At 37.5% G+C, this 26,762-nt stretch overlaps 1 protein-coding gene across 11 annotated transcripts in view; it reads right to left on the bottom strand.

The window, feature by feature from the left end:
* COL28A1 (collagen type XXVIII alpha 1 chain) overlaps window positions 1-26,762 on the bottom strand; it is a 205,677-nt gene that overhangs the window by 163,382 nt on the left and 15,533 nt on the right. For all 11 annotated transcript variants that reach the window (XR_926936.4, XM_011515360.3, XM_011515358.4 and 8 more), the window contains exons 4-11: window positions 22,654-22,674; window positions 20,330-20,386; window positions 18,487-18,540; window positions 16,221-16,262; window positions 14,239-14,265; window positions 9,516-9,560; window positions 5,542-5,586; window positions 4,439-4,492 (exon numbers count right to left, since the gene is read on the bottom strand). Coding sequence is in view for 10 of the 11 variants with exons in the window: in XM_011515360.3 (XP_011513662.1) it covers window positions 4,439-4,492; window positions 5,542-5,586; window positions 9,516-9,560; window positions 14,239-14,265; window positions 16,221-16,262; window positions 18,487-18,540; window positions 20,330-20,386; window positions 22,654-22,674 (345 nt within the window). In the remaining variant the exon portion in view is untranslated. The remainder of the gene's footprint in view (window positions 1-4,438; window positions 4,493-5,541; window positions 5,587-9,515; window positions 9,561-14,238; window positions 14,266-16,220; window positions 16,263-18,486; window positions 18,541-20,329; window positions 20,387-22,653; window positions 22,675-26,762) is intronic.

Consider the following 26,762-nt stretch of genomic DNA (forward strand, 5'->3'; position numbering starts at 1 on the left):
TGGGCAAACCCAGTGTTCCACTGTGTTGATTTATTCAAAATTAGTTTTGGTAACTTGTCCTCTGTGACTTGAAAGGCCTACCAATCATAAGCCATTCTTCCTAGTAATTAAAGGCCTTTTTCAAGGGTCACATGTGATTGCAACCTGAGCCACCATGACAGCCCCATGGAAGGCAGCAGCGTTGGGTTTTTAGGGGTTCAGTCTTTCCTCAGAGCATAGCGCTGTCTCCTGAGTCACAATTTCAGTTTGGTCTCAGGGATAAGGCTTCTTGGGCACTTGTGTGATTACAATTCTAACTGATTTCCGAGACTATTGAGACGTTCCGTTTTTTTTCTTTTGAGACAGAGTCTCGCTCTGTCACCCCAGCTGGAGTGCAGTGGTGCAATCTTGGCTCACAGCAACCTCTGCCTCCCGGGTTCAGGCAACGCTCTGCCTCAGCCTCCAGAGTAGCTGGGATCACAGGCGCCCGCCACCACGCCCGGCTAATTTTTGTGCTGTTAGTAGAGACGGGGTTTCACCATCTTGGCCAGGCTGGTCTTGAGTCTTGAACTCCTGACCTCGTGATCCACCTACCTCGGCCTCCCAAAGTGCTGGGATTACAGGCGTGAGCCACTGCGCCTGGCTGAGATGTTCTTATGAATGCCACAAGATGACCTTCCTGTGTGGTAGAGGATGAGGTGGACTCTGAGCTAAGGCTTCTTTCTGAGAAACATCTATGTTTTGTTGCTAAGGCAACAAAGTCATTCAGGGCAGACTAGGAGCTACTTTACATGTGGAAAGTATTATTGACAGAAATAATTTGTGAAAATGGGCCAGGAGCACATTTTTTCCTGACTTAACACATGCATTTTTTTCCTTTTGTTCTTTGGCCACCTTTTCTGAAAACCCTTTAATGAAGAAAAGCCAATCCCTAAAGCAACAGAAAGTGAGCGTAATTCAAGAGAAAGACCATTTGTAAATTCATAGACATAGGCAGGCCCTATCTAGAACCTCTCGTGGAATCTTTGCAAATGTTGCAAGTTTAAAGGTTTCTATTTTAAGGTCTTATATGAAATATAGTATTTGAAAATGCACAATTAGCATTACCGTTTTCTTTCTCCCAAGATATTCCCTTCCTTTTTTTTTTTTTTTTTTTTTTTTGAGACGGAGTCTTGCTCTGTCGCCCAGGCTGGAGTGCAGTGGCGCGATCTCGGCTCACTGCAAGCTCCGCCTCCCAGGTTCACGCCATTCTCCTGCCTCAGCCTCCCGAGTAGCTGGGACTACAGGCGCCCGCTACCACGCCCGGCTAATTTTTTGTATTTTTAGTAGAGACGGGGTTTCACCGTGTTAGCCAGGATGGTCTCGATCTCCTGACCTCGTGATCCGCCCGCCTCGGCCTCCCAAAGTGCTGGGATTACAGGCGTGATATTCCCTTCCTTTTTCCTGCACTTTCAGATGAAGATTAAAACCCAGGAGAAATGCACCTTTCAACAAACTGTTGTCCCTAGCCAGAGTCCACCAGAAGGGAAGACAGATAGAACTTCCACACTGTCAAAAAGAAATGCATTTATTTCAGGCCAAATATTCAGGAAATTCAGCAATTTTTCCTAAAGGGATAAATATAATATGGTAGCTAAGAGCAGACTTGTGGGTTTCAATACTCAGTCTGTCCCTTACTAGCTCTGTAGACTTGGACCCATTGCTTAAACTCTTTGTGCCTTAGTAGACTAATCTGTACAATGGAAATAAGAATAGATCATGTCTCAAAAGGTGGTATTAGTATTAAATGAGCACTTAAAACTTTACTTATACATAATAAATATACAATAAATAAATGTTAGGTACTGTACAAGTTTCAAAATAAATAATCTTCCTTGTGCCCATTAGAGAATACAGAATTACTGAATTTTAGAGGGTTTCTTTGCACAAATTGCAAAAGCAGCTTCTTTTAAAATTGTCTAATAAAATGATAATGGATAAAAATAAATGTCACTATAAAATATTATTTCCAGATTGAGGAACAAAAATAGCTTATTATGTCTTCAAAGTATAGTACATTCTGGGAGGCAAGATGAAATCATTCCCTGAAAACTGACTTTTATGACAGTACACTAATAAGTGTATAAAATGAAAAAAATAGCTAATGACCAATATGACATGAATCTCCAGCTAACAGATCCAAAGAGCAGTAGAAATTATATAGAAGTTAGTAATAGTGTCAAAGTAAGAGTACAGACCTTAAACCAGAACTATGACTAGAAAGAAAAGGGGGAACTCATGCCCACTTCATAGACTCCGAGCGATCCCCAACATTATCTAGAAATTGACAGCTTTTTGATTGGCAATGAACTTTGTTCACTTGGCAGTGAACTTTGTGCTTAAAACTTAAGTGGCAATTTCATGTCATGTATATTTTACAAAAGAGAGGCCCTTGGGAAATTGATGAAGTCCTCAAATGCTTTTGGAAAAATGACTCCTTTTATGATTATGCTGTAAAAGTCAACCACAAAGTGCTATTATGTCAGAAAAATTATAACCAACCCCCCCAAAACATACTTGATGCATTATTAAAACTTAATGCACTGCTGAAATTAAAGGCCAAATTTTATTGAAATATGTTTTTAACCCTAAGTGATAACACTATTAGACATAAAGAGTTGAGCCAGGTATGGTGGCTCACACTTGTAGTCTCAACTCTTTGGGAGGCCAAGGCAGGAGGATTCCTTGAGGCCAGGCATTCCAGACTCAACTGGGCAACAAAGCGAGAGCCCATCTCTACAAAAAAAAAAATTATAATTTAGCCAGGCACAGTGGTATGTGCCTCTAGTCCTAGCTATTTTGGAGGCTGAGGCAGGAGAATCACTTGAGCCCAGGAATTCAAGTTGCAGTTGGTTATGATCATGCCACTGTACTCCAGCTGGGGGAACAGAGCAACATCCTATCTCTAAAAAAGAGAGAGAGAAGAAGAAGAAGAAAAGGAGGAGGAGGAACACCTTTTTATGGACCATTCCCTACCATACCACCACAACTGCCAGCCACGACCTGCATCACCCAAAGCTGCAGGCACTATTTCCAGGCCAGCACCACCTCAGTGCCCTCCACAGATGATGGGACCTCACTGGGACTCTGCCTCAGGCAAGCCATTTGATCTCCAGGCTTTGTTTCTCATTTCCAAAATGAAAATGCTAAGCCAGTATGATCTCTAACATCCCTAGTGGCTCAAACATTCTATAATTCCATCATACTGCAAACCCCAGCTCTGATCCCTGACTGTAAGCCTCTTTCTCACAAACATGAAAATTGTCATCTTAGGTAATCAAAGAATTCTAAAAATTGTGTGGTCTGTCAAAATATATATTTTTTTCTTACTGTAGGATTGTACCTGTAGCCAATGCAATTTTATCAAAACTTCTGCTCATCAGTATTCAACAAGGCCATTTCTTTCCCCAGAGAGAATTAATCATAGGCAAGAAGTGAAAAAGACAGTTTCCCCAGTTGAAGCCTAAGCACATGCCTGCTGAGAAGCCCATTCTATTTTAATTTGCCAATTCAAAGTGGCCTGGTAAATCACACACTGTCATTATCTCATTAAAAATATTATACTGTCACTCTCTTTCCTCTCTCTCAAGTAGCCCAACTGCTCCCTACAACTTCAGTTTAATATCACCCTTAAAAAGCTGGCTTTCTTTAGGGTCAGTTGAGGATGGCATCTTCTGCTTTTATTACTGCCATAAATTCCATACCACTCAAATCACTAAGTCGACACCATTTACTGGATATTTACTATATCCGTGAAATTTACTAAGCTTTGAGAAGAGTTAAAAAGGAACTAAACAGCTTGTTTTAGCAAATTAATGGTCACTCTCATTGGAAAAGAGAGCCTTATAACCAGGCCTTTAAAGATCCCTCCCATCTGCATCTTTTTGTTCTGCGTGGCTTGTATTCAACCCCTCCCTATTTGTCTTGGCTGGTTATCTGTGGACTGATACTACAAGCATGGTGCTGATGGTTGAGATTTCCCTGTAATTAAAAAAAGCTTGATTTCTGTTGGTATAACAACTGTAAATTTCCTTCCCCTATAAAGTGTATATTGAGGTGGCATTACATTTGAGAAATAGAGTGGTTTGAATTGTGTCACTTGTTATTGCTTTTTGGTTTCTAATGAGCCATAAAATAAATAAAAGTCAGGAGTAAGAAGGAAACACAGCAAAGATTCTAGATAATGGCTTATAGTTAACAATATCCCTCTTTGAATAACATAATAATAAATGATAAAGGTATGCTGCTAACTTCCTGAATGCATTAGGACTTAATTCTCTGTATACATCTGCAGGTTATTATGCATTTCCAAAGGTACTTCCTCAAAGAATCCATTGACTTTTACCTAATAAAACATACATTACTATAGCGCACTAGGGGAAAGGCACTCTGCCTGTCTTTAATCAAAGGGTAAGATTACCTTATTGCCTTGAAACCCCTTTGGGCCTGGGTCTCCTGGAGGTCCAGTAATTCCCTGCTCCAGGATGAAAACCAAGAATTAGTTCTGTGTACAAAAGGCCAGCAGGAATGAATCATTCTTTAGGGTCCCTAGAGATCCTGGCGATCGAAGTTAGACTGTGTAACTCAGAGCTAAATTGAAATCACATTCAATCGAGAAGTGGGATGAGATAAAATTTCTTGTGTCAAATACGTAGCTTCCAAAATAGCACTTATGCTAAGAGCAAACATTTAATTAACGAGATGTTTGTTTACTAAACCTGTGTTTCCAACATTATTCCAACGTTCTTGACTCCTTTTAAAAAATATTTTGCCAGTTAAGTATCTTCTTTTTTAAAATATCTAAGGCATATGTAACTGACGTTAGAGCTTCCAATGAACCTGGGATAACCAGAATGACTGCCTGGCTCTGACATTTCCAGGCTAAAGCAAAGAAGTTAGTGGTTAACTAGATGGTGTCTAGGAGATTCTGGGTAAAATTATAATTTTCTGTAGGCTTTTTGAAATACTGAAATTAACTCCTCACACAGAGCACCATTATAACTTTAGAAGAGATAAGTTCCTAGGCTAGGAAAAGATTCAAATTATTTTCTGAAATCTATGGATGTCTAACTTAAATGCCTTAGAGAATCAGTCCATATTATAGAACATTATCTAGTTATAGAACAATAAAAATATACTGTGATTTAGATAAAATGCATAACTTTTCCAACTACATTATAGTAGCAGTGCAAAAATAGTTACATCCTGCTTTTAACCACTTGACTTTCCATCTTTCCAGACTCTTAATTTTTTAACTTCATCCCCTAAGCTGCTCACTAATACTTGCCTGTTGGTACCTATCTTTAGGGAGTCTTAGTTAAGTTAATGAAAACATTAGGGAAGTTGTTTCCAAAATTTATTGCACATTGTAATCTTCTGGGTATCTTAAACAATATTAATGCCTGGCTTCAATCCCCAGACATTCTGATTTAACTGGCAGAGGGTGCAAGTGGGCAAGGGGATGGTTTAAAAACTCCCCAGGTGATTCTAATTCAAACTTAGATTTGGTTTTAACCCCCTTACCTGAATTCCTCTGGGTCCCTTTGGTCCATATGGCCCTGGGGATCCCTGTGGAATAAAATTGAAAATAAGTCTCTCTAAATATACATCTTCAACGTGCAGTGATTTTAGGTAGGAGGGAAGGAAATGTGTTCTCGGTAATTGCCATCTTCCCTGGTTATCTTAACATCAAAGGCAATAAACTGAAATAATCCTAATTAACAAGCCAAGGGGTAGGAGTGTCAAACTTTCCTTCAGTAAACAATCTCCATGAAAATACAATTTTAGATGTAAGTCCGTTGCCTACATATTGACATTTTGGTCATTTTGGTTACAGTAAAGAAATTACTTTATAAGATTCCTTAGAGGGCTATAAACTTATTGGAATATTATTTCCTTCCGACAGGGTAATGTCAGTTAAATTAACAATGTAGTGCATTTCCATGCTATCTAGATCACTCTTTTGCTCATCTTCAAAACACTGAACGTGGCAAAACACTGTTTATATTCAATACTCTTCTAATAGAAAATATTTCATTCGGTCCCATAACCAGGAAACCCTTTAAAATTTATTTTGTGAGGGAGAACATAGTCTAGTTTTTATTTCCCCAGATTTCCACTTTTTTTTTTTGCTTATCAAAGTACAACCTGTTAACAATTGACACACTTTGACAATTATAGAAACATATAAATAAACAATTTGAAAAATCACACAGAAGCAAATGCTGTTAACATTTTAGGCATATTTTCGTCCAGTTTTATTCCCAGTAGATTCCTCTTCAAATAATGTGATCAAAGTGTATGTCTGATTTTGTGTCCTACCCATTTGGCCTTACACTGTATCAAAAATATTTTTCCGGCCAGGCGTGCTGGCTCACGCCTGTAATCCCAGCACTTTGGGAGGCCGAGGCGGGCGGATCACGAGGTCAGGAGATGGAGACCATCCTGGCTAACACAGTGAAACCCTGTCTCTACTAAAAATACAAAAAATTAGCCGGGCGTGGTGGCGGGCACCTGTAGTCCCAGCTACTGGGGAGGCTGAGGCAGGAGAATAGCGTGAACCCGGGAGGCGGAGCTTGCAGTGAGCTGAGATCGCGCCACTGCACTCCAGCCTGGGCAACAGAGCGAGACTCTGTCTCAAAAAAAAAAAAAAAATTTCCTTTTTCCATGTCATTAAAAACTCATAGTAAACAGATAATAGTCAAGAATAGGGAACTACCATAATTTATTTACTCATTTCCCTAGCTTTGACCTAATATTATAATGAACATCTTTATGTATAAATCTCTGCCCAACTTCTGATTCACTCCTAAGAATAGTCTACTAGAAGAGGATGATGGAAGCAGAGACCATAAGCACATTTAAGGTTCACCGGCTGTCCTTTGTCTCTCATGCCATATATAGAAATAAAGAGAGAGAAACTTCCTCCATAAAGTTTGTTTGTTAATCATTTCCACTACCCGAGTATGAGAGAGTGTATCTTCATCTTATGGGCTCCCCATCAACAATTAGTATTATACATTACTTCACTGTTTGCTAATTTGATAGGTGATATAATACTTTTGTATGTTTGCTTTTGGTTGCTGGTGTTGTTGTTGTTGTTGTTTGAGACAGGGTCTTGCTCTGTTGCCCAGGCTGGAGTAGCTCACTGCAGCCTCTATCTCCCAGGTTCAAGCAATCCTCCCACCTCAGCCTCCCTAGTTGCCCACACTGGTGATATAATACCTTATTGTTTTATTGTTGGTTTTGTTTTGTTTTTGAGATGGAGTCTTACTCTGTCCCCCAGGCTGGAGTGCAATGGCACAATCTCGGTCCACTGCAACCTCTGCCTCCCAGGTTCAAGCAATTCTCCTGCTCCAGCCTCCCGAGTAGCTGAAATTACAGGTGTGCACCACCATGCCCAGCTAATTTTTGTATTTTTAGTAGAGATAGGGTTTCACCTTGTTAGCCAGGCTTGTCTCAAACTCCTGACCTCTGATGACCTGCCCACCTTGGCCTCCAAAAGTGTTGGGATTACAGGCATAAGCCACCACGCCCAGCCTATTTTGTTTTTTTTGAGACAGGGTTTCGCTCTGTTACCCAAACTGGAGTAGAGTGGCACAATGACAGCTCACTGCAGCCTCAACCCCCTGGACTCAAGCAATCTTCCCACCTCAGCTTCCCAAGTATCTGGAATTACAGGCACATGTCCAACTAATTTTTAAATTTTTTGTAGAGACGGGGCCTCACTATGTTGCCCAGGCTGGTCTCAAACTCCTGGACTCAAGTGATCCTCCCACTTCGGCCTAATTTTAATGTATTAATTTCACTTATCTGATTGCTACTGTATTCGGATATTTTTCTTATTTATTAGCCATTTTAATTTCCACTTCTCTATCTCTTCATGTTGTTCATATGTTTTTCTGAACAAACTTGTGTAAACTCTTCGTGTCAAGGACTCTATATCTCATCAGTTCTAAGGCACATTTTTTCACATTTTTATATCTCTGACATTGGGGTATATTTTACAGTCAATTGCACCTTACATTTATAATTGGCAGTGGGTTTTTTTTGTTGTTGTTATTCCTTTTTGGTATGGAAAATAATGGGACATTTAATAATCCCTGACATCTTAGTCAATGAAATATGATATCCTTTGTCAACCATTTTAATTTCATCTAGTTTTCCCAGGTATTCTTTGACTTTCATTTCTATTCTATTCTATGTGTGTCCCTTTTTCTGCATTGCCAATATCCAGGTCCATCTTCCATGTTCAGTTATACTCCAGGAAGAATCTATTCATTTTCACATTTCCCATTTTGACCAGAGATAATTACCAAGCCTACCTTTTGCAGATCCACCTGACTTTAACTCTACAGTACTTTAAAAGCATTCAGAAAGTCTCAATCTATTTAAAGTGTTTAGTTTCATGGGCCAAAGTCATTATCTCACCCTCTTCTCCTAACCTTCTGCCTCATTTTCTCTCCTTGACTCCCTTCCAGAATTATAACATAGAAACTGAAAAAGTTTGGTATCTTGGTGGCATGATGTTAATAGTTCTTAATATAATGAAAACTATTTATTTTTACTCTGTACTTTTTTGGACCCTTTAACATCATGTTTCAGATATACTCTCTGTATATATTTGGCCTTTTGAGGAACTCTTTAACATAATATTATTTCCAAATTTAAGTGCTTTCATTATTGATTGATTGATTGATTGATTGATTTTTGAGACGGAGTCACTCTGTCACCCAGGCTGGAGTGCAGTGGCACGATCTTGGCTCACTGCAACGTCTGCCTCCTGGGTTCAAGCAATTTTCCTGTCTCAGCCTCCTGAGTAGCTGGGACTACAGGTGCACGCCACCATGCCTGGCTAATTTTTGTATTTTTAGTAGAGATGGTGTTTCACCGTATTGGTCAGGCTGGTCTCAAACTCCTGACCTCAGGTGATCCACCCACCTTGGCCTCCCAAAGTGCTGGGATTACAGGTGTTAGCCACTGCGTTCAGCCTATATTTATTTTTTAAAATAAAGGTGAATATTTATCCAATTGTTTGTGTCTACATTTTCAAAATTCCAAATCTCTATGTCTAGTTGCACCACACTGTTTATAACTATTTCACTGACTGATTTCAGAGTTCTTCACACTATTTTGGAAAGTGCCTGTTTTCAGTGTTTGCATCTGGAAAGCACTTCTACCCTGACCTAACTGCAGCTTTAATTAACTTTGCAGGTTAAATAATTCTTTTTACCATAACATTCAGTGGGCGTGGCCTCCAAGGTTAGGGTGTCAGAAAATGAAGTCTTAATGGTCCATAAAAAAGGCATTTGGGGGTTCTATTATTGAGTTAGGCATCACTTTGTTTTCTACCACATGTTTTACAGATGTGAAAAATTGAGCCATTGATTCCAACTCTAGTAGTGAGATCACCATAATTCAGCCCAGGAATTTCCCCTTAAGGAAACGCAACCCAAAAGGGATCACAGCTGTAAGCAGTTTAAAAACATGTTCCTTACCTTGTCACCTTTTATCCCTGGTTTACCACATTCCCCACGTTCACCCTAAAAAATAAATAAGTGAAATAAATAAGAGAACACTTGCAGTCATTCACTATTAAGAATGTTTGTTTGTTTGTTTTTTAAATTCCCAGCAGACTCTTGTAACATAAGCACTCTTTTGGTTTCTACACAATATTAGCCTCAATACTGTGGGTTTTATGGGCATTGAAATCTGAATATTTTTACCCAAGAGTCATCCTTAACTTGACAGGAATAAATCAGGAACAATGTAATAAGGTTTGACATTTTTAAGAAATGGATGAAACTAGAAGAAAAGGAACCTAGCATCTAATCACATATTAGATGCCCTTTGCATATGTGGTTTAATTGAATCCACATAACGGTCCAGGGAGATCAGCTTTATCATTCTTATTTTATAATTGAGAACATTTAAACTCAACAAGATAATTTCCCTCTATCAAATAGCTAGTAAGTAAAAGAATCAGAGTCTGAACCCAGATACTTTAACTTGGAATTCCTATTTTTTCAAGAACACCATGCTTCAGCCTGAGTACCAACCTTGACCACCTAGTAGTGTTCACCTGGAGAACCGTGAGAGAAAGGTTCTGAAGTGAGATTGCATCGTGAGTTAGTGGGAACAGGTGCCATGATGAGTTAGCGAGGACTGCTGTAGGAGAGCCGGGCTTGGCAGCAAGCATGCTACATATTTTTCATTATTATGCTCTACTTCCCTGTCTTCCCTAGAATATTGCTGAAAAAACAACATTTGAGTTATTCTTTAGAGTTTATCAGTGATAGTTTATCATAAATATTTTATCTTAGTTAATCTGACATTACCTGTCTGAGATAAATATTAATCCAATTTTATAGATTAAAATTTTGTAATTAAGAAGGTTAAGTAAAGAGAATGTGGTATACAATGGAATATTATTCAGCCTTTGAGAAAGAAATCCTGTCATTTGTAACAACATAGATGAACCTGAACCTGGAAGACATTATGTTTAGTGAAATAAGCCAGGAACAGAAAGACAAATATGGCATGATCTCACTTATATGTGAGATCTAAAAAATTTGAACTCACAGAAGCACAGAGTAGAAGGGTGGTTACCAGGGGTAATTGGTGGAAACTTGGGAAATGTTGGCCAAAGGATACAAAACTAGTTAGATAGGAGCAATAAGTTCAAGAGATCTATTGTTCAACACGATGACTATCATTAATAACAATGTCTTGTATTGAAAATCACTAAAAGGGTAGATTTTAAGCATTCTCACCACAAAAACTGATCATTATGTGAAGTGATATATATGTTAATTAGCTCAATTTAGCCATTTTATAATGTATACATTTATCAAATTATATTTTATACAATACAATAAATATGAACTTTTTAGATTTGTCCATTAAATTTTTTAAATAAAACTAAATATTTTTAAAAGGTTAGTTTCCTCAAGTAGAAGGAGAATTGGGACCTCTGAATACTAATCCATTATATCAGACTTTTGAAACTTCTACTACTTAGAACTAAAAGGTGACAGTCAGAAAAATGACTAAAGTTTCATAATCATAGTAATATTATCTCCTTTATAAATCACTTTAGAGTTTTCAAAATGCTTTTATATATATCGTTATTTTGATCCTCAATTCAATTCTCATTTTCAAGATAAGGAAACACAATTGGATATGTCAAATGATTTACTTAAATGTACAGGCTACCCAATGACTCCTAGTCCAGTGCTCTCAACACTAGCTTCTGCTGCTGCTTCTTTATTCTGCCTCTGTACTGCTCTAGGGCATGTTACTGGAAGTGCCACTACACAATGACAAGGAAATTACATTCAAATGTAAATCAATGCACTGCTTCTTTCATCAAGGAAGTCTTGCTATGAAAAATAAATGTCAGCTGAACTTTAAACAGTATACGTTGTAATATAGTGGATTTATATGCTGGCGGAAGCTTTATCTTGTTGCAGAATAGCAACAAACCATTCACAGACTGGCAGCCAGCCTGCAGACCACAGTTTCAACAGCAGTGCTCTATGGAGGGAAATCACAACTGTAACCTCCAATTATGGATGCAAAGTGTGTGCCATAGCCTTTACATTATTGCTAATCCCCATAGCAGCCTTGCGAGGTATATATACATATCTCCACTCACAGATAAGCAAAATGAGGCTCAGAGACATTACATACTTTGTCCATGACCACAAATTTGAGTCTGTTAGGCTCTCAAGTCCATGTTCTTATCAGTCACCTGTAGCTGAACAAGGCACACTATCATAGGCTGCAAGTCACTTTCCATTAACCTGACATTTCTGCCTAGGGTACTGCCTGGGCTCTTGCAGGCATCAGGAGCAGGAAAGAGGGAGGTGTGACTCTTAGAGCCAGCTATGCCTCTGATCAAAAGCAATCTGTTCTCTCTTCACATCCTTTCGTGAGTCAAACTGACCCAGGAAAAACTGAGCTTTCACTTAGAACAAGTTGAACATTTATTTCTGAATGCAAATGGAAAATCACTTTTGAAGAATCAATTAGAAAGCAATTAATTTAATAATTTTGGATGGGAATAAAATGAGTCAACCACCAAAATATAAAACAGAAAGTACCATAAATACACTCAAAATGCTTTTGGCTACAATTCACATTCCATTTGTCCAGACAGATTTGTTAGCTATAGGGGCCTGAGGAACAGCATTTGTTTTTTGGGGGGCACAGATTGCCATCAATGAAAATATTGTATTCATGTTATTTGCCTCTGCAAAGGCGTTTTCCTTTTTGGTGGGCTCATTAATCCCTGTGGAATGGCCACAACTACATGGTTTCAGAAAGCGAGTACTTCAGAAAGCCATGAACAGATCAGCTCTGTTCTCAGCCTCTATTTTCTGATGCTGCTGCTCCTGGTGAAATTCTGGTTTGAATGTCGATGGTTCAGGGTCACTTTGCTCTGACAGCTTGTATTTTCCAAGTGAGAACTCTTCCAGTGAATCAATAATTCTCCAGAAAGTGAAATTAATCTTTTCAAAAAATATATGTATAAAGCTTCCTTGTGTTGATAACTACCTCACTATATAAATCAAAATGGAGGAGGGGGCCACCCACTATTTTCCTCAACTATACACACAGTTGATAATTTTACAACTGTGAAACTTTTTTAGTTTTCCCATATTAATATTTGTTCCTTTCCTCTTCATAATGGCACTTACATTTGTAGACAAGCCAACATTTTGGAATACATTGTCACGCCCATTATTTGATTCTCCAACCACTCTGTAAATTAGGCAGGCCTGTACAAATTGTATTCCATCCAGTTGAAGAAACAGATACTCCAAGACATTGAGTTACCTAAGTTCTTAAGGCTGCTAAGTGTAGAATCATGGGATTCCTTACACTCTTCCCCTTGGAGTTCTAACATTGCCAGCGATTAGGATATATTTATTGGCTTACATGTAGGCTCACCCCTAATATTTGCAGGGCCCAGGGCAAGAGTGTAAGTGGAAGCCCACATACCATGTGTCTAAATAGTTGAAAGTTATAACTAAACTAATAATGTTCTGGCTTCCTTCCTTAACAAATATGTCTTCAAAAGGGATAAAGAATTAAAAGACTTATGAATTCCTCAGAGGTCCTTGCCAGACATAGCCCCCTGCAGCCTGGCCCCAACTTCCCTTCCCACCTCCAACTCCTTCCACAGCAAGAGCATGAGCACACACGTGAAGATGCCCCGGGTAGCACAACAAAGCCCGCTACATGACCTCTCCTGCCCCAACAAACAGCTACCATTCGGCTCCCCCTCCAGCCTAGGAAAATGATGGATATGGAAAGGAGGTTTTTGTATGCCCTCCCAGCAGCAGGCCTTTTGAAGTCTTGGCTACCCAATGCATGATCCAGGAGAAGGAAGCACAGACCTCCTGCAGACTCCTGGCTCCATGAGAAGCAGGGAGGCCAGAGGAGACTCAGAGCTGGACCCTCTAAAGTTCTAGCCTCTTTCTCATGCCTGAAGGTTGTAGCCCTGTAGGATGGAATGGATGATAGGTGCATGTTCTGATTCAGATAGAAAATCTGATAATAACAAGAACTGTGGGACAGACTTATCAATGAACCAGTGAGCACTCTCAGAGGTTCCTGAGCCCCAGTATGACTTGTTAATCCCTTTTAAAGCAGTTTGGTATCCTAACTTGTAACTCGCAAATAATCATCAAATCATCTACCAACCCATACCTTTTGTTTGCTTGTTTGCCAAATTTACTCCCCTGCAAGCTCTACCCAATTGGCTGACTCAGTGAAGTCAGTGGCTCTTCACTGCTTAACCAGGATAAATCCTCTCTTTTCCCTGGGAGAGGATTTGGTGTCTAGGTTTTCACAGGAAGTTAAACACCAAGGGTGCAACCTATTTGCAGTATTGCTGAATCTGTTTGTGTAAAGAAACTTTTAGCCTGCATACCTGTGCTGCATGGCTTATAAATTGGGGTTCTCTATTAAAATAATTCATGTTTGCAAAGCTGAAGGAGGCTGGATTCTAATCTCAGGAATCATGGTACCCTCCATCCCTTACAACACACATCCATATGTTAAGTTCTATTATTATTTTATGTTAACTCAGGAATGAGGGAATCCAGACTTACAAAAATAAAGAAAATAACTTTTATTAAGTTCCTAAGTACACTTATGTTTCTGTTTTTCTTTTTGAAATTCTGGTCAATCTATTTGTTGTTACCAACTTACCTTGTCACCCTTGTACCCAGGAATTCCCTAATTTAAAAAGAAAATAAAAAGTAAAATATGATACTCTGAGGCAGAATTAGAATAAGGATTAGGTATTTTTCAATTACAAGGTATAACAAAAACACATCTATACAGTCTGGAAAATTAGATCATAGAAATGTAAACTGTTCCACTTCTCTTTGTGCTTGGAGAAATATACATTTACTGAGGAGAAGAAAATAATCTGTTTTCCCTTTATCACATTTTATTCTCAGTTTCAGGTATTTTTCCATATCCAGTTTCTTGCCCTTTGGCCCAAAACTAGAGGAGATAATGTACACTGAAAGTCATTGTAGAAGTGATGGCCTATAATGGTCCCTTCAAAACTGTTATATTGACTTTTAAACTATGAACTATTGCAGCTAAGAATGTTTCATAGAGACTCTGAAAGAAATTGGCTTTGAAAATGAGCTGAGATAATGGCCTTTAAAATGTGTGTAAATATTTGTATCCATTATGGTCCTCCTTACAAATTCGGTCTAAGATATATAACATCAAGGAAATGAAAGGTTCCTTTATCAGCCCTAATGCGACAGTGACCTTTAAGCTACTGTCTTTTATCTCACACTAAATAAGAGGCCAGCACTTCTACTGTCTTCTGTGTGTCACCCTTGGGAATCCTGTACAGCCTTTTCCATTGTGTCACTGCCCATGGCCCTTTAAGAAATACAATAGTGAATATTACATGGCCTGGGAAATCACCAGCTCTAAGCAGCAGCAAGTCCTCTTCAAATGGGATTTTTTTGTCTTTCATACAGCTATATTTTTCAAATATGGAAATAGAATTGTCAGATTTATTGAGAGCTGAAGAAACCTATTTAATAAATAAGCTATTATTACAGTTACATGTGAGTCAGACTACAAAATTTTGTTCTATGCATGACTTTTTTATTAATACTATTATCTATTTATTTATTTATGTGTAGAGAGAGGGTCTCACTATGTTGCTCAGGCTGGTCTCAAACTAGTGGCCTTAAGTGATCTTTGCACCTAGGCCTCCCAAAGTGCTGGTATTACAGGTATGAGTCACTGTGCCTGGCCTGACTTTTTTTACAAAAGGAAACTTCATGAAGGAAATAAAACTTCCAAATGTGTGGTCAATGAGGAATAGAAGATAAACGTAGAATTCTCTCCTATGAGATAATAAGCTTTTTAAAAATACAAGTACTTTATCTTAGTTTTATTTTTACATACTTGTATGCTTTATATGTAGAATATACCTAAGAAATGTTTCCTGAACACAAATTTCAGATTTTTTGTTGACATTACTAAACTTTCTATCAGATTTTTTAATGAAGTTGATTCAAAATACCAAGAGAACAGTTTTTAACATCTCTGGGTCTGAGTCCAGGGCACATCCAGGGGGACAAGCAGAGAGGGGCAATGTCATATGGTCTTCTTTTTATGCACCGTACACATCTCTGCTATTTGATACACTTACTGCAATGCCCAGAAAAGTGCAAAATAAGAAATATACTGTAATTAGTTCTTGGGCAATATCCACTATCTTCTAATTTGGGGTATAAGAAATCAAATAGAATGGTAAATTTTATTATGTCTGCAGAATTGGATTAACAAAAGCATAGTTTAGACCATGTAGTTCTTATGCTCCTGAAATTCTAACTTATTCTTTATCTTAAAAAACTTAAGAAATAAAGCAAACAGTTTTCTCATTGGAGCCTTTCACCAATGTCAAATTAAGCATCAGAGAATTTGATAGGGTTGAACACTCCTGCTCCCATTTTCACTCTGTTAGCTGAGTATTTTCTCCCCACATTTCCACTTCTAAGATCATATCTTTCTGATTGCCTTCTTGAGCCATCAAGAGCACAAGGTAGATAGAAATCACTTTTGCACTTGCACTAAGGGGGTCAAAATGGTCAACCACAAAATCAGTAACCTAGGATCACTTTCTTAGGAAGGCATTCCAGTTGTGTACATACCCCTGGACCTCTTTCTCCAGCTTCTCCTTTTTGAGCGTTGCCCTGTGACAAACAAAAAACAGTAAAAATTCCACAGCCCTGAAGAGTGACTGATTGCTCAATAAAATGCATTATACAGAAGATTAATAGCTTAGCCCAATTAGGAAACATCTTTAGTCTTTCCCGTTGACATTTTCACTATGCAATCTAGGCAAAAAAAAAAAAAAAATAGCAACTCAGATAAACTTTGCCCTTTGCAGTGAAGCCAGATGTGTAGGGTGCAGGATCCAGGTACCTTTTCACAGCTTACACCACATCCCAGTTGAACAACACAGCGATTGTTCTCAAATACATCATTATACTCACTTGGAGCCAGTCACTCTGGCTTTTCTCTAAGGGGCTTTGGAATGTTTTCCAAAATGTCCTCAAGAGTGATTGCTTGATTTCAGCAAGACTTAAGAAAATATATTATGTGGCACAAAATTACAAACCAAAGAAATAAAATGTGAACTTACATTTATAATGGGTATTTAACACAAAAAAAAGAAGACATGATAGCATCAGTTTGGACGTATATAAGATGAGTGAGTATAGGGTTGTTTGGTTGAGCATGTGTGTGTATGTTGTAAAGCTATCCAAGGCTGCTATATTCCCTTTCCTTGACAAGCAGACAATTGCCAAAAATGCTTTTATGCATTTAACTTTTGATTTTTTTCATTACCTCTCTAAAAACTTTCTAATAGGGCTGTTTTAGAGTTCATTTTTGAGTTAATTTTTAATGTAATAGTTAACTTTGTTAGTATTTGAGTACCTCTTACTTATTGCCTAATTTTTCCCAAACTATTTGTGTCAAGTTACCTGCAATGAAAAGCAAACCAGTTTCACTGCCACATTGCTATCACTAGTTATTATTGTTTTAATATTGCTGTGTTAATTGCTATAATGAAAGAAATGTTTTTAAACGTCAAAACACACACAAAAACAAATGATGTGAACTAGAAAACCACTTCCAGAAAAAAATAATCCTCTGGATTCCAAAGTTTCTAAAATGTAAGTATCACTACTAAAGGATATCTCATTCTCTCTATTTAAATTTATTTTATTACCTAATGAAATTAAATGTGCTTTTACTTTTTTCTTTACTAGTTTTGTTTCCTCTCTTGAAAATTGTGTTCAGAAATTAACTCAGTGTACTGTAGAAATTAACCCAATGTCCATTACATTTGATGCAAATATTTCCTGATATTTCTATTTCTTTAATATTCCTTCCTTATATTAGGACATTCTCATGCTGCTAACAAAGACACACCTGAGACTGGGTAGTTTATAAAGCAAAGAGGTTTAATGGACTCACAGTTCCACAGTGCTGGGGAGACCTCATAATCATGGAGGAAGGTGAAGCAGGAACAAAGCCACATCTTACATGGTGACAGGCAAGAGAGCTTATGTAGGGGAACTTCCCCTTATAAAACCATCAGATCTCATGTGACTTACTCACTATCACAAGAACAGCATGGGAAAGACCCGCCCCCTATGATTTAATTACCTCCCACCAGTCTCTCCCACCACATGTGGGAATCATGGGAGCTACGTACAATTCAAGATGAGATTTGAGTGGGGACATAACCAAAGCATATCACTCCCTTTTCTTTAATTATTATTTTTTTCATTACACAGAATTTTGCCTTAAATTTTCACATAGTTATATCTACTTTTCTCTTTGTGATTACTGCTGTTGTTCTTGAACTTGGAACCAAAATCCTAACAATGATCTGAACAGATGAATGTTTTCTTTAAAAGCCTGGGATTTTTTTTGATAGGTACACAGAGAAAAGAATTCGAGAAGTCCTTGAAGATGCTCTGGGAGTGAGAAACAATCTGGTGGTTTTTCTATGATTATTGTCAGTCAGTTAATCATTAAAAGTATACCCATTAAAAACACAAGTGCCAGTGTCAATCTGATATGGAACACATATTACTAGTTGCTGAATCATCATCCTAAATAAGATTGGCTGCTATCGTTTAAGTACTAGTTTCTGTTTATTCAATGTCCCTAGGTTTCCTAAACTTACTGACTAAAATGTTCATATATGTTACTCAGAATTTGTGAATTCAAGCTAATAGAAATAAGATAGATAATATAGGAAGTGGAAATCCTGTATTCTTCACAAAAGTTGTCACATTTTTGCCATATACTACAATGCTTTTTATTTTTAAAATTGTTGTTTTAAAAAAAAAGTCTAGAAGGAGATACGCTGGTTTAAAGAAAAGCTGTTTATTCATTTACCGGGTTTCCTTTTGGTCCTCGCTCACCTTTGATACCTGGATTTCCATGTGTACCCTGAAGGCAAAGGGAAAAAATATTATTTTAAGTAGGAATTCTATTGTTTTCTATACTTTATAATAATTTCTGATCAGTTTTGTTTCCTAGAATGAGGGAGAATTGTAAAACCTTTACCTGCCAAGCAGAAATTCAATTCTCTTCTCCCTTTTTCTACACCAGGAAAACCACTGTCTTGAATTGGCAGATTTTCTAGATTTGCTCAAAAGAGAATAATGTTTCTCTCTTCCCACCAATTACTTCTTCCCAAAACAATCACTTCTCAGCAGTTTTGCAAACAAAATCAAACTCATGCAAAGATTTAAAAGAGTAGCTGCAACAGGCAGAAGGATAGGAGTTGTTCCCAATCTCTCTTCATTGTGGGTCACTTCTACGATTCCCTCTGTCACTCACTTTTAAAAGGACCAAGCTAGCTTGCTTGCCTTTGGTCAAAGAGGTTCTGATATCCAGGAGACAATCTCAAAAGATGGGAGAAAGGAGCTCTGTAATCCTGTTCCAGAAAAGCATTTTGTTTTCCTGTTCCTAATCAACCAGAAAGCTTGCTTTTCTGAGAAATGGTGTTGGGGGTACTCGATAATGTTAAATAACATATTCTGTGGCTTATCCCTACTAAAATGTGACAAGAATGTGACTAAAATTGTCAGGTGCTTAGCAATTGTGAGCTTTCTTATTGCTCATTTTAAAATATAAAGAAATATTTCTTACCCTGGCCATCTCTTGGTGTCATAGAGATAAACGAAGACTTTATAGGAAGGGATGGCTAAACCTTTGCTTTAGCCAAAGTCAGCTTCTACTGGCTGCCCCACTATCATATAACGCATCTAACTTTGTATTTGGGGAGAAAAACATCCCTTGATTGGTAGGATGGTTTGAAAAATTGTAGGCTTTGGACCCGAGTCTCAAGGTAAAATTTGTCACATTCTAATTCATTCACAGTACACATTCCCCTCCCACCCCCAAATACAAGCATTAGTTGAAAATTTTTATCCATGCATTTTGTGAGATTCTCCATAGGGCTTCTTCTGAACTCTAAGGATGATATTTGGAATTATACAAATAAATAGAAGACTGAATGAGCACGTGAATGCTTTATGAAGATAAATGTTAAAAAAATGCTCAGCATTTCCAGTGATCTAGATGTCATTTCAAATGCCTTCCCAGTACAGACATGGCACCTACCAGTTATTAGGCCAGAATATAAAGAAAGCACTCCTTCCTGGATTATCTTATCAAACAATGAATCATCATAGTCAATCCTGCCATTTATTTTTGGTTGCCATGTGCTTACTTCCATTTCACAGAACTCACCCTAATCCCCCAAAGCATCGTGACCAGCTTCCTGTCCATGAGGCCACACGGTGTTGCTGCTGCACTGCTGCATTCGTGTGAAGCCAACATTTAACTTTCAGAGAGGCTTGTACTCCATGTTTCTAGTAGGATAAAGCTTTGCTTAAAGCACTGATTATTTGTATTAGCTTTTTCTGTATTCACTTCACTATTGAGAAATTCTGGCTTCAATTATTTTATGAGGAGGAATATAAATGTCCTTTGTGGGAACAACTTCAAAACACACCTGCCCTCAGTTCAGGTCAGTAAAATCCCAGGCTTATTTCTAAGGATAGAATGTGTCCCTTTAGAAATAAAAGAAAGAAGTAGCATTTCCATTTTTCCTCCCATTTCCAAACAATTGCTTTTCAGCAGTGCAAAATAGCCCCGATGTTTTCAAGAGCGAGTAGAGCTATCATTGCTAGGACTTTCTGACTTAAGTTCAAAGTGGAAGTATACTCACAGGAGGCCCTGGATCACCTGGATCTCCCTTCTCACATTCACAAATCTTGCGTTCACACTGAATCAATAATGAAATATGATATTAACACACAGTGAAATTCAAATTGTATGCAGCATTTCAAATTGTATTTCAAATACATTTCAAAGTGTATTTCAAATAAATTTCAAATAGCATTTCAAATTGTATTCAGTATATAACCAACTGGAGCACTCTCAAAGAAATTTTACCTTGCACATTTATGGATGTTTTGCTCTCTCTATTAAATTATTCCAGGCAAATTTATACCTACCAAGAGCTAGCTAACAAAATATTATTAAATTTCAGCATAGTTAAATAAAAGACATCCCATCAAAAATACATGTATAATATATAGATGCCAGTTAAAAGGAGAAAATAAATATTTTCAGTGGACTTTTAGAATTTCTGATCCTTCTCTTCTATATAACACATCAAAGCTCAATAATATAATAATATTAAATGCTCCTTTACTAGGCAAAGGAAAACATTTGACTTATAGCATATTTTACTAATTGTAAGATAATTGTAAGATGCACCTTCTTCCTCATTTTAACAACTCTGAAATCAGAATGAGTCTTATAACAGCTGTTGACCAGGTTCAGTCATGACAAAGTAGTTGCTTTTTGCACATGCACTTCAAAACTTACAGAATGAAATGGGAGAAAATTCCAGAACATACTTAAGAAATGCTTCATCACCAATGGTTTTGCTGGCATAGAGGTCAGTATTACGCAGAAAAACAAGGACATCAACAACTCAGACAAAAAATGATTCAGATTTACCAGGGGTGTCTAATCTTTTGGCTTCCCTGGGCCACATTGGAAGAAGAAGAATTGCCTTGGGCCACGCATAAAATACACTAACACTAACGATAGCTGAAGAGCAAAAAAAAAAAAAAAAAAAAAAAAAAAAAAGGGCCGTGCATACATTTTATAACGTTTTTAAAAAGTTTATAAATTTGTGTTGGTCCGCATTCAAAGTCATCCTGGGCTGCATGTAGCCTGTGGGCCGCGAGTTGGACAAGCTTGATTTAGAGTCTGATGTGAAGAAGTTTTAGAAATAACCAAGTTATTTTGCTTACATATTCCCTTATATGTATATATGAAAGTGATACAGGATTTTAAAATCTACATCCAAAATGTCTAAAAACTTATTTCCACAGGTATAAAATAAAAAGTGCAATTAATAAGAAGACACTGTATCATAGATAAGCTAGCAAGGGTTTTTTCCTTTCTTTCTTTTCTTTTTTTTTTTTTAAACGGGAGTCTCACTCTGCCACCAGGCTGGAATGCAGCAGCAATCTTGGCTCACTGCAACCTCTGCCTCCTGGGTTCAAGTGATTCTCCTGCCTCAGCCTCCTGAGTAGCTGGGACTACAGTCATGCACCATCACCCCCAGCTAACTTTTTTGTATTTTTAGTAGAGACGGGGTTTCAGCATGTTGGCCAGGATGGTCTCGATCTCCTGACCTCATGATCCACCTGCCTCGGCCTCCCAAACTGCTGGGATTACAGGCGTGAGCGACCATGCCTGGCCGTTTTTTTTTTCCTTTCTTAATGGTACATAACATAATGGTATATCCGAACATGTACAATTCAATAAAACATGGTGTGACGTAGGTTTGGTTGACTCCTATTATTTTATGCAACAATACTTGTAAATTTCCTGATGTTAAATAAGCAGCTCATTGAACAAAGCTCAGATGTTCCAAACTCTTTCTTTTAAGAAATGCATGTCCAGGACAGGACTCCTCAGCAAGCTGATGATTATCTATTGTGCTAAGGCTCGTCCAATCTTATTGGCCAGTTTCCTTTGCCACGTGGTCTGGTTGCCATCATCAGGCTGCCTTTTCTTCACAATAAGGAGAATGAGCTCAAAGTCAATTGGCAGGCAGCAGGGGATGACTCTAGACTCTGTCTCTTAGCTGGGAACCCTCTGCCTAACCTAGCCAACACCAGGAACACCCCCCAAAATAGAGGACCTGATGTGGCTGATGTCAGATACATGCTTAGAATAAAGGAAGCACATCAAAGTAAGCAAAAACTATGTAGTTTGCTCATGACTGATTTCTAAAATCACTCCTGGAGTCACATTCAATATTTCCTACTTTTTCTAAATTTTCCAACTTGCATTGAATATGGTAGTATAAAAGAAATCAGATGGCTGCCTCAGAATAGAGTGGCTCATTTTAAAAGAACTAAGCATTTTTATTTAGTCACACTTAATCTTCTAATGTGAATTATAATGCTGATTTGATAATGCAAGTGTTTGGAGTAATTCGTAGTAATCAAAGCATGTGGTGCTTACCTTCTTTTCAAATAAGATATCCTACAAGGGAAAAAAGAATGAAGCATTAACTCGATTGATAGTTCTGCCTCCAGCTACTTATTAGTCATAACTATTCCCTATGGGATATGAAGTTTCCACAAAGAATAGCAATTCAGCCTTTTTAAACTTGTAAAAGCAATAAAACCAACCAGCCAACCACCCAAGGAGCAGTCCGAGCCATGTAATAATAAGAGATATAACTACCATTAAAAATTAACCTATATTTTCTAGGAACTTCATCTTACTGCATTCTATGTTTTATCTTTTGTTTCCTTTATCAGCTCTGTAATCTCCATAATTTGACTATAAAGTTAATCAGTCATAATGACAAAGCTCTCACTTTTACATACAAAGACTGAGGCAGAATATATAATTGTATATTTTCAATTTTTTCCATCCCTATGCACATATACATGCATCTATTTTTCATGATTTATTTTTCAAGATTAAAACAATATAGTCATAACTTCATGAAATATTAATGGGTGTTAGATCATATTAAAACTCAAAAAGAGAAAATTACAAAGTCCAGTGACATTTTTTGAGATGATCTGAATTATGAGAAGACAAAGATTTCCATTATTATGATCACTAGGGGAGGAGTTTTCTATTTCAAATTTGAAAAGCCTCCAATATGATACTTTATTTACAGAATTTCAACAGAAGCCAAAAAAGATACTCAGCTTTTAAATTTAAACAGTATTAGGAATAATATTTTGGTAAAAATTTTGAACTGTTCATAGCAATATGCATTACTTATGTAAAAGAGGACTTACATTTATAACTGGCTAACTTAGGGGAAAAACTAAGTGATAGAAAAGTAATACATATTTCATAATAAAAAATGATCATTATGAAAAACAAAAAAACAAATTTAATGAGTCTTAGTCAATCAGACTCAACCTCTTGCTTTGCAATAAGGAAACATGGTTCCACCATAATGTGACTCAACTGAGGTAACACACTTGGGCTGCACCTCCTGACCGTCTTCAGTGCATGTCATATGTACCATACAGGAATGAATTAGCCAGAATATTTTTCAAAACTATTTTAAATTTATAATTTTGCAGAAATGTCATGATCTTGTTTTTGTCTAACACCTAGGCCTCACTACCATACTTGAATTCAGTGGGATATTACCTGACAAGTGCACTGAAGGCTGTGTTGGAAGACAAACGCTGGAAAGAAACTAATCTATGTTTATATATAGAATTAGTACTTTCTTAACCTAGAAATTATGTGTCAAACCAGTGCCTTGTGATTTCATCTGAAGGGGTAATTTACATACGATAAAATAGAAAGATGAAGGAGCAAGCACTGGAATATTTGTTGCAAGATATTAAAAATGCAGAAGCTAACAAGGAAGTTAAATAAGAGTATGTAGCTTTATGAAGGATGCTGCATCCCTTTAGTTTTATTTTTACTTTATTTCCGTACAAACTAATACTATAGAGGGACGAGATAACAAAATGCTTTAATGATTTAATAGGGAAAAAATTAGGCTGGGAATTAAGTGTCATTCTGGGTTTCCATCCCGTTTCAACAATTAACTAGCTATGTGGCCTTGGACAAGTCATACAATCCTTCCAGGTAATTTTCTCCATATATAAAAAAGGACAAAGTTTGACTACATGATCTCAGGAGCTATAAAACCCTAGCCACAGACACTAGCTACAAAATTTAGAGTCTCACCTACCACCCCTCCCAACCAAACGATTTTAAATTACTAGCCATGTAAATCCAGGCTGAAAGCAGATGAGATATTTGTATCTTTAAGAGCTAGGAGGTCCTATGGAGAAATAGGAACTCAGATACACTGATAGTTTTAGTTAAAATGGTATTACCCTCTGTAGAACATTTGGTTATGCCTACAAGGCTGAAGATGGACCTGCTTTATCACGAGGCTGCCAGGACAATTCTTGCTTTTGCCTGTTATCCTGACATCCTTTCTAGACATACCACAGGGAAATTCTTGCACTTGCACATTTCAGCATTCATTGTTTTTTGTAATGAAAAACTGTAAATAAAATAATTGCCAATAGTGGAATGGATCAGCAAATGAAATACTACTCGGCAGTTAAAGTGAATGCATTGGATCTACACATTTCAACAAAATTTCCAAAAAAACATTGAGTGCAAAAGCAAGTTGTAGATAGATACATACAATATGATCTGATTTATTAAAATACGTAAGATATTTCAAACCACGTCAGAGAGTGGTTTCCTCTGGGAGAAAGAGAGAGAAAAGAAATTCAAAAGAAGTTCAACAGAGGCAGTAAAACAACTAATAATTCAAGTCAAATTGTAATATTTAAAAACCACTACTGAAATAAAGAAAAATTTAAATATTTGTCACTTTAAAATCTTTTAACAATGAGCAATATCTTTTTTTTTTCTTCTTTTTGAGATGGAGTCTCGCCCTGTCACCTAGGCTGGCATGCAGTGGCATGATCTTGGCTCACTGCAACCTCCACCTCCTGGGTTCAAGCAATTCTCCTGCCTCAGCCTCTGAAATAGCTGGAATTACAGAGCACGCCAACAAGCCAGGGTAATTTTTGTATTTTTAGTAGAGACAGGGTTTCATCATGTCGGCCAGGCTGGTCTCAAACTCCTGACCTCAAGTGATCCACCCACCTTGGCCTCCCAAAGTGCTGGGATTACAGGTGTGAGCCACCGCACCTAGCCACAATAAGCAATATCTTAATCAATTTTTAAATTCACGAATTCAGCTCTTACTGTGCCTGATGTGTAATTTTATACTTTTTTCAGTTCTTTCTTTTAAAATTCAATTTCTTCTTTGCCATATTGCTCTTTAGAAATATGTGGCATAAGGCTTAAAACCATAGCAATGCAAAAAACTATTTTTGGAACTCATTTAATTTTGTGTTTGCTGGAATTTATATTTCTATGGAAACAAAAATGAACCCAAAACTACACAATAGATAAGACTGTTTCAAACAAAGAACAAAGCCCCATCCCTGAGGGCTCTTATAGGCTATAAGCCCCAGGAACAGAGGACAACACACAGCAACCCGAGTAGGAAGGAGGTCCTAGGCCAGGGGCGGGGGAGCCGCTAACAAGATGGCTTCTTGGAATAGGTGGGTTTTCTGGATGGTTTTGAAGAGAGGAATGCAAAGGACCACCCATTGATGGTATGCTGTCCTATATGTCAAAGTTGATGAGGAAAAAAGTCATAAGGACTAGTGTGGGCAATAAGACAAAGGAAGTAGTTATGAGGAACATTTAAAGGGAGTGGATGGAAGGGCCCACATGGACAGAGCCGGAGGCCTTGGGAGGTGGCGAGGGCTTGCACTCAGGCAGGGAAGCAGGCTGCAAGGAGAACAGTGTCAAAGCCTGACGGGAGGCCATGTTCAATGACAGACTGGGGGCATGCTTGAGTTTCAATGAAAAGGATAAATAGGGAAAGGGTCTCATGACAGCAAAAGAAGATGCAGTCAGAATTTCATTAATGGATTCATATATATGGCATATATTCACATATACTATATATGCAAAACCAGAATGCTAGAATGGAATCACCAATTTTTCAAGGAGTATAAGGTTTATGCTGTGAGAAGGGGACAGAAAACATGTGAGGGATGGACAAATATCACAGCACATGGAATGACAGCAAAGCACTCGGTAGGCAAGGGGAACAAACCCTGTGACAAAAAAATTCAACTTAAAATGGTAGCAAAATGGCCACTATAAAATCTAAAACAGAAAAATAAGGCCCTAAACAGAGGAAGTCTTGAAAAAATGGAAAGTGATCATAATTAATAGATTAAGAAAGCATAGGATTCTAAAGATGATATAGACATCATCACATTGATCTCTTCTTGGTATGTGAGGGAGGGAATACCTTAAATTTATGTTTTTTAAAAATCGTTCAGAAAAAAAGACAAATTTGTCACAACCCTTATTTCCATAAAGGCTTTTTAAATACTTAACATCAAAGGCAATAGAGGGAAAAAATTGTCTTTAATTTTCACATATCCTCTCTTACTCTTCTACAGGACCAAGTAATATATCCAGGACTTTGGAATGAATTTGTTTGTTTGGTTTCAATACTATTATGTAAATTATAA

The sequence above is a fragment of the Homo sapiens genome, chromosome 7 (genome assembly GCF_000001405.40).
Source record: "Homo sapiens chromosome 7, GRCh38.p14 Primary Assembly".
Classification (NCBI taxonomy): domain Eukaryota; kingdom Metazoa; phylum Chordata; class Mammalia; order Primates; family Hominidae; genus Homo; species Homo sapiens.